The 8,570-nt window shown below is 46.6% G+C and overlaps 1 annotated feature.

The window, feature by feature from the left end:
* Positions 5,711-5,911: a silencer, noted in NCBI's record as "peak186 fragment used in MPRA reporter construct". NCBI's record gives its function as "represses an SCP1 promoter by STARR-seq MPRAs in K562 erythroleukemia cells {active_cell/tissue: K562}" and the evidence as "EXISTENCE:reporter gene assay evidence [ECO:0000049][PMID:32103011]".

The following is an 8,570-nucleotide window of genomic DNA, read 5'->3' as shown; positions in this document are numbered from 1 at the left end:
CTTTAAGCAGTTTGTCAAACGTTATCCTAACAAGGAGCAAACTTCCCACAGATTTGATCTGTGTCTTGCTGCAGTAGGGGCTCCTGACAGCAAGGGGGCAGCCAAGAGCAGCCCTGGGGTGGAGAGGGAGGCTAGAAATCACTGGCCCACGGACCCAGCCAGGGAACCAGGCAGAAGCCTGCAGGCAGGCATTCGGGACCGAGGAAGTCAGCACCCCAAATGACTCTGAGAGCTCCAAGACTGCCTTCCCTCTACACACTGCTGCCATCTTGGAAGGACTAGAGACCGTGCTAAGCCAGGAGGATCCTGGGAAAGGAAACCTGTGTTTTGGTTGTGGCCCAGCACATAACAAGGAGGAACCAACTGTGGTTCCTGGAATCTCATGGGTCCCCCATTCCCAGTGTAGGGGAAGCTGTCCAATTCCCAAGGTTGGCAGTTTCCATCGGGCCCCTGTTCTCTCCTTTTGTGGATGATCTATCTAGCACAGTGTTTCTCAGCCAGGGATAATTCCCTGCCCCGCCCCCATCGACACTCCCACCTCCCCGTAACCCACCCACCCACCCCGTGCTCCACTGTGCCCCATCCCCAGGGGATGTTTGGCATTGCCGGGAGATTTTTGGTTGTTACAACTTGCGGGAAGGGTGCTCCTAGCATCTAGGAGATGGAGGCCAGGGATGATGGTAGGCACGCACAGGATGGCCTCACAACAAAAAATTATCCATCTCAAAATGCCAACAGTGCTGAGGCTGAGAAACTCTGACCCAGAATTATCTTGCTGAGTTTGTTTTCAAAGGCAAGTGCCAGGCTTCAGGCTAATTTTGCCCTCAGTCTAGCCAACACCACCGTCCCCGAGGCAAGATGTCCTGGGTACTTTCTTAGAATTGGTGAGGAAAAATTACAGAGAATAAAATACGCATCATTTCTCTGACTCTCTTACATCAGGGAAAACAAAATGTAAATTAAATTTTCAATCCATTATTCTGCCACACCTTCAACCTGCCAAGCTTTGAGGTTCCTAAGGACTTCCAAGTCAATGATTTCGGTTTTTAGTTTAGTTTTTTTTTTTTTTTTTCTACTTTCAGCTTCATGCATCGGTGTGGGGATGGAAGCTGAAAGCGTGGGAGTGGATGAGATCACTCACAGAGCATTTTCTGCAGAGTGGGAATTGCAGAGGAACAAGGACAAAACCCCAAGGACTGTAGACACTTAATAAGGGGCCAAGGGGAGGAGGAGGGACAAAGAAATTCCTGAGGAAGGAGGGGAAGGAGCAAAGTGAGAAGGGGGAGGAGAATTTTATTCAAGCATATTGCACATTTTTAAAGCGCTTACTATGTGTCAGGCACTGTGCTAGAATCCAGAGATACTGGTGTGTGGGGATTTAGGGAGTTCCAAGGAAACGAGGGATCCATTCATTTATTGGTTCATTGGTTCATCCGTCTGTTCATACAACAGCTATTTATTGAGTGCCTACTATGTGCCAGGCACTATTCTGGATTCTGAGGCAGATATGTCAGTGGTGATCAAAACAAAAGTCCCCCCCTCAGGCAGCTTGCGCTCTGGTGAGGAGGATACAGAAGAACAAGGTGAAGAAACGTTGCTAAGAAGTGAATGGGAATGAGGGCTGAAAGGGGACTTCCATGGGGGACCACAGAGAGCAGTTCTGGTTGACTGATGGCTGAAGACACTGACTGCCAATGGCCCAGTGAGGGAAGAACAGGGGAAGGCCTGGCACATAGTAGGCTCACCACATGTTGGACAAACAAGCCAGTTCCTGGGTCACTGCCTAGAAACAGCCTCGGTCTCATTCCCTAGTGATTTATTATTGCAACTGCTGCCATTGCCTTTGAGCTTCTTCTGAAAAGTTTTGTGTAAAGTAGGAAATAGAAAGTGCCAGGGTAGTCCTAGATTTAGAAAAGGGAAAGGAGGTATTTATTATTCCTTTAGTATAAGACAAGGCACAGTACCAGGAAAGGAATAATCAAAGTTGACAGCTCAGAGGAGATGACAGGAAATGGTTTGGAGGAGTCTCCTTTGGTCACGAATGCTAAGAGAATTTGTGCCAAACCAGGGAGTTAGCTGTGAGAGATTTTGCCTCAAAAACATGTCTAATTTCATTTTTAAAACCCTTCTAGTAGAGGTGAAGCAGGCTTGTATCTGTGGATTATACCACCCCAGGAGGGCTTCACAACAGACATGAAAATAAATTAGTTATGACAGTCACTTCCTGAAGTCGGCAATGCTAGTTCTCACTTGAGATCCAGTGGCCATCAGTGCAGCAGTTAAAGAAGTTCAGAAGAGCCTTTGAGTGGGTGTATTTTAGAGCGGGTGTATTTTAGAGCCTGGATTCAGAGACCGTGGAAGAAAGTCCACAGTGGTGCTAAGACCTCCAAGCATGACGAGAGCAAGAGTTGTTCCTTGTGGGCTTGTTTGAAGTAAAAGGATCTGGATACCCACTTCTGGTGAGACTTGACGTTCACACAAGTCTGGGGCCAGGAGGCCTATGTGTTGGACCTGTGTCCGCCCTGTGTGACCGTGGGCTGAGCACTTGCCCCTCTGAGCTTCTGCACAAGCAGGGCATTGGATCCGTGATCTGTGAGCCCTGGAAGTGACCTGCTCTTGTTTTGTCCTGTCCTCATTTGTCTGCTAATAGCATCTCCATTTCCCTTGGGCAGCCCCATCTCCCATCCTGTGCGGTGCTTGTAAGCCTGTCAATCAAGTTCTCCTCACCTCTCCTGGCTAAGGGGAGTCACATGATCCAAGCTCTGCCAATCAGACTCTCCCTTGGGAAGGAATCTGAATCTTGAACAGAGAGACAGCAGGTCAAATGCCAGTGGGAACCATTGGCACCTCGGGCCTGGGTCTCTGCAGCTGCTCTGCTCTCCATCTTTTTTGAAGTTTTTCCTTCAATCTTGTGAATGACCTCATTCCTCCTATTGAGAATTCCCTCTTTGCCTACGTTAGTAAACATTACTCCTGTTGCTTACAACCAACGAATTCTAATGTTATGTAGCCCTTTTAGCTTTGAAATTTGGGGGAAATAATTGTGCCTCACAGCTTTCCTGTAGAGATTAAATGAAATAATGTACATGATGGTGCCCAGCAGGGCAGGTACTGTCAGGGTGAGTTCCCGCCTCTTCCTTGCCTCTATGACTTGTCTATTGAACATGCCATTGGTGATGAATCTTCCTTCATGAGACTCTTGAGACTTCATGAGACTCATCCTCATGAGACTCTTTTGTAGAAATTAACACAAGAAAGGGTTATTGTGAATGGGAATGTATGAGGTGATTCATTTTGTTCATTTGGCAAATATTTAATGAGCACCTGCTGTGTGATAGGCCGTTCAAGGCACTGGAGATACATCCATGAATAAGACCAAGGCCCTGCTCTCAAGGAGTTTATATTATAGTGGGAGAGGCAGACAGTAAACAGATATTAGGTTTCGATGGAGTGGTCAGGGAATGTGTTTCTCTGGAGGTGACAAATGGGCAGCAATATGATTGAAGTGAGGGAGGAAGACATTCTATTTTTTAACTTTTAAGTTCGGGGTATATGTGCAGGTATGTTACATAGGTAAATATGTGTCATGGGGGTTGGTTGTGCAGATTATTTTCTCACCCAGGTATTAGGCCTAGTACCCATTAGTTATTTCTCCTGATCCTCTCCCTCCTCTCACTCCCACCCTTCGATAGGCCCCAGTGTTTGTTCTTCCCCTGTATGTGTCATGTGTTCTCAGCATTTAGCTTCCGCTTGTAAGTGAGAACACTTGGTATTTGGTTTTCTGTTCCTGTGTTAGTTTGCTAAGGATAATGGCCTCTAGCTCCAGCTCTGTCCCTGAAAAGGACATAATCTCATTCTTTTTTATGGCTGCATAGTATTCCATGGTGTATATGTACCACATTTTCTTTATCCAGTCTGTCATTGATGGGCATTTAGATTGATTCCATTGCTATTGTGAATAGTGCTGCAATGAACATAAGCATGTATGTGTCTTTATAATAGAATGATTTATATTCCTTTGGGTATATACCCATTAATGGGATTGCTGGGTCAAATGTTATTTCTGTCTTTGGGTCATTGAGGAATCGCCACACTGTCTCCCACGATGGTTGAACTAATTTACATTCCCACCAACAGTGTGTAAGCATTCTTTTGCCAACATCCATTATTTTTTGATTTTTTAAAAATAGCCATTCTGACTGGTGTGAGATGGTATCTCATGGTTTTGATTTGCATTTCTCTAATGATCAGTGATGTTGAGTTTTTTTCATATGATTTTTGGCCACATACATGTTATGTCTTCTTTTGAGAAGTGTCTGTTCGTGTCCTTTGCCCACCTTTAACAGGTTGCTTGTTTTTTTTCTTGTAAATTTGTTTAAGTTCCTTATAGATACTGGATATTAGACCTTTGTCAGATGTGTAGTTTGCAAAATTTTTCTCACATTCTGTCTGTTTACTCTGTTGATAGTTTCTTTTGCTGTGCAGAAAATCTTTAGTTTAATTAGATCCCATTTGTCAATTTTTGCTTTTGTTGCAATTGCTTTTGGCATCTTCGCCATGAAATCTTTGCCTGTGCCTGTGTCCTGAATGGTACTGCCTAGGTAGAAAAGACGTTTTAATTTCTAGAGGAAGAGCTTTCCAAGCTATGGGGGCAGCAAGTGCAAAGGCCCTGAGGGGAAAATGTGCTTAGTGTACCGAAGAACAGCTAGGACACCAATGTGGCTGTAGCACAGTGAGTGGGGAGGAGAACAGTAAGAAAAGAGGCTGGAAGAAGTAGCAGCAAGGTTCTACAGCCTCCCTGTCAAGCGGCCAGTCCTGCCACTGCTTGCACACCTTCAGGGATGGGGAGCTTACTTCTACCTGAGGTGATATTTGGACAGGCTTTTTAGAGTCAGGGTCTTGTTCTGTTGCCCAATCTGGAGTGCAGTGGCATGATCATAGCTCACTGCAGCCTCAAACTCCTGGGCTACAGCAATCCTCCCCGTTCAGCCTCCCAAGTAGCTGGGACTAGAGGCGTGTGCCACCACACCCGGCTAATTTATTTATTTTTGTAGAGGTGGGGTCTTGCTGCCCAGGGTGGTCTTGAACTCCAGGCCTCAAGTGATCCTCCCGCCTTGGCCTCCCAAAGTGCTGAGGATAAGCCACTATTTTGCCTCTTGAAGCTCCCCAGGACCCATCTGCCCTCACTTTTCTTGGCCAACCCCTTGGAGATCTGAAGCCAGCTCTTCATGTTTTCATTTTATTTCCTTGCGGTATCCCTCAGATTATCTGAGTCTCTTTGTAATTTTTCAGGATATTCCCTCCCTTTACTCTCTTTATTCTAGGCAGAATACTTTTATTAATTCTGCCTGGGATGAGTTTGTTTTTTATGGCAGCCCATTACACGCCTGTCACTGCTAATCACACCAGGCTTTTCTTTTGTGTAAGAGGCTGCTCTGGCAGCTCTCCCTGGATCTCCTCTTCTGCTCCTATAGGGCCATCGGTTTGTAATATAAGTTCAAGACACAACATTTATTTCTGTTAAAGTCCTCTTGTTGAATCAAGCCCACTAATCCCGCAAGTCAGACCTTATGAGATCCTGATTCCATCACCCAACATATTTACTATTTCTCTATTTTTTGGTCACCCACAAGTCTCATCCCAAAGCCACTGTCTCATTTGTGCATAAATATGCCTGGGTTGGCCTTGGCTGGGTGCCAGATTCTGCCCAAGAGCTGCAGATGCAGAGACCCCTTTGGGGAATCTACAATCTAGTTTGGTGGAGGACACAAAAACAGGTCATTCCAGCACAGCACAATGTGTAAGTCCTGTGGGAACCTGGTGTGGGTGGGTGCCAGGAAACACAAGCAGAGGCAACATGGAGCAGATATCTGCTAGGAGTCCAATCGGGAGGAAAGGCATTCCTGGAAGAAAGTACAGCACAGCAAGGCAAGGAGACAGGAAAGTTAGTGTTGTGTTCAGGGAACTGCATGTAGAACGGTGCATCTGGTGCAGGCCACTGAGTACATAGAAGCCTTGCATGGCTGGAAAAGGTGGATGGCAGAGAATATCAGTATCTTGAGTACTTCTCAGGAGCCAGCTGAATCCAGGGAAGTCTCAGTTTTCAATATCAACACAACTTGTGGGATTTCTGCAGTGGCACCTCCGGGCACACAATACTCATTTATCAGGGCTACCATTGGAGATATCCACACAGCAGATGCTCCTCTCTTGAAGGGTTTCCCTATGAGCCCCACCAGGGTTAGGACAGGCTTGGCAACTTCTGGGCTTGTGAGAGCTGGTCAGGAACACTCAGTTCTCACTCAATACACTCCATGGTCTTGATCCAAACTTACCCCAGTCCTCCCACCTTCCCTTTGGTGCTAGGCTTGTCTCTGTAAGATCCTTGAAATTCTGGGGGCCCAGAATGACTTATGTTCTGAATTTAGCACCTTAGCCCAGCAGCATTCTGTCTTGCAAAACCACCGCTCTGCCAGCTTCACATGAAGGGGCCATTTAATATGCAGCTGAGAAACAGCCCTACAAAGCAAAGAAGATAAGGTGGGAATGTTGAATATTCATTTTTGTGGTTAGAGGGTGTTTTTCCTATGATTCTGTTATTCAAATTAGCTTGGATTGTAACTTCCATTTCAACAACAAATGCTTAAAGAAACACAACAGGAAAATCCCCACTTTCTCTCCTGAGATCTCCTCCAAAGTGACCGGCCCCCCTGAATACTTCACCTTGAAGCCATGGCTGATTCATTTCTTCCACCCTCACAGGCCTAACCCAGCAGACAGGAGGAGGATGGAGGAGAGAGAGCCAGTCTTGCAAAGATTCCAGTCTCTGGGTCCTGGGGTCAGTGCCCACAGTCCCAAGACCTGTCATTTGATCTATGGCCTTTGACGAGCAGTGGGCCAGCCTGATCCTCAACCCAGCTCAGGAAGTAACTGAGAGCCACTGCCCTGTGTTCCCAGTGGGACGTGGGAAACCCATTCATTCCACTAGACCTGGAAACTGAGCCTCAGACCAGATAGCACTAATCGATGATGAAAACGTGAGCGGCAGTCAGCATTTACATGGTACTAAAATATTTTTGCATCCATCCATAGCTTTTCTTCTCCCTTGACATCTCTTGGTTCCATCCTGGATAGACCCTCACCTCCTATAACAATTTCTGCCTTCACTCTTGCTCCTCTCCAGTCTCCACGTGGCAGCCAGGGTGATTTTTAATTGGATCATGTCACCCCTACCTAAAAGTCTTCTGTGACTTCTCATTAGGCTTAGGATAAAATCTCCGGCTTACACAGTCTCTGAACCCCTTTTCTGCCCTTGTGTTTTCCATTCACTCTGCTTCTGCTACCAGTTCCTGGAGTCTGCCAAGCTCTTCTCTACCCCAGCACCTTTGCACTGGCTGTCCTTTATCCTGGACACGATTCCCAGTTCTCCTCCTGGTTGGCTTCATCTCATCTTTCAGCTTCAATATCACCTTCTCAGAGAGGCCTTACTAGATCTCCTGTGTGCAGTCGTTTCCTTATATGAATTTATTCTAGCATGCTCTTCATTACCTTCCTAGCCTTCCTAGGCACCATCTGTAATGATTTGTTTATTTGTCCTCTGTCTCCCCAATGACAAGGCAAGTCCCCCTAGGGCAGGGGACTTTGTTATCTTTGTCATCACCGCATCCTCAGGACCCAGCACAGTCTGGATAGACATTGACCAAATGAACTTACTGAGTGCCAACTATGTGTCAGGTTCCTCATTTAATCTTTACAGTAATCTGATGGACATGGTCAATACCCCCCATTATAGACGCTAAATCAACACTTTGATGTTACACAGCAGCAGAACAAGACACTGAACCTAAGTTACTTAACCCCACAGTCCATGTTCTTTCCATGTACTCTTCTGTGCCTGAAGCCCCAAGTCCTGATTTTGCTACTTACTGTCTATAGGACATAGAGCATGGCCCCAGCGTTTTGAACCTCCGTTTGCTCATATGTAAAATGTGGGCCTTAATAAAATCTGCCCCTGCACTATAGAGTGGCATAGACTCTGAAGCCAGGTTGTCGGGGTTCACCAGCCAGCTACCGGCTGTCTGACCTTGGATGAGTGACTTAACCTCCCTGTGCCTCAGTTTGATAATCTGTAAAATGGGCATAAGTGATGGTATTTGTAAGGACCACACGAGCAAATGTCTGTAGAGCCCTTTTTCACCTACACAGTTGTGAAAGGGCTAGCTATTGTTATCAGGAGTTGGCATATATGAACTTTATTGCTTTCCAAATCACTTCACATTCCAGCCTCACAAAAGCCCCCTGAGGTGAACAGGAAAGGCTTTATTTTCCTATTTTATAGAGGAGTAAACGGAGGCTGTGGAGGTCTTGCTGAGAGTCTCCATTCCTGACAACCTGGAAGCCCCAAACTCGAGGCCAGGTCCTGAGCAGCCCAGCGCTCTCTCCTCCGAGTCTCTGCGGCTTCTTCTCTGACTTCGTGCCGGATGTCCACGCTCCCGCTCCCGCCCCACCTGCCTTGCTTCTGCTGATCTGTCTTTTGCTCCATTAGGCAGGGCCGCGGCCCCTGGCCCTGC

Source organism: Homo sapiens, chromosome 1 (assembly GCF_000001405.40).
Source record: "Homo sapiens chromosome 1, GRCh38.p14 Primary Assembly".
Taxonomy (NCBI): domain Eukaryota; kingdom Metazoa; phylum Chordata; class Mammalia; order Primates; family Hominidae; genus Homo; species Homo sapiens.
Note: the sequence above shows the minus strand (reverse complement) of the source record. Positions and strands in the feature narration are given on the sequence as shown.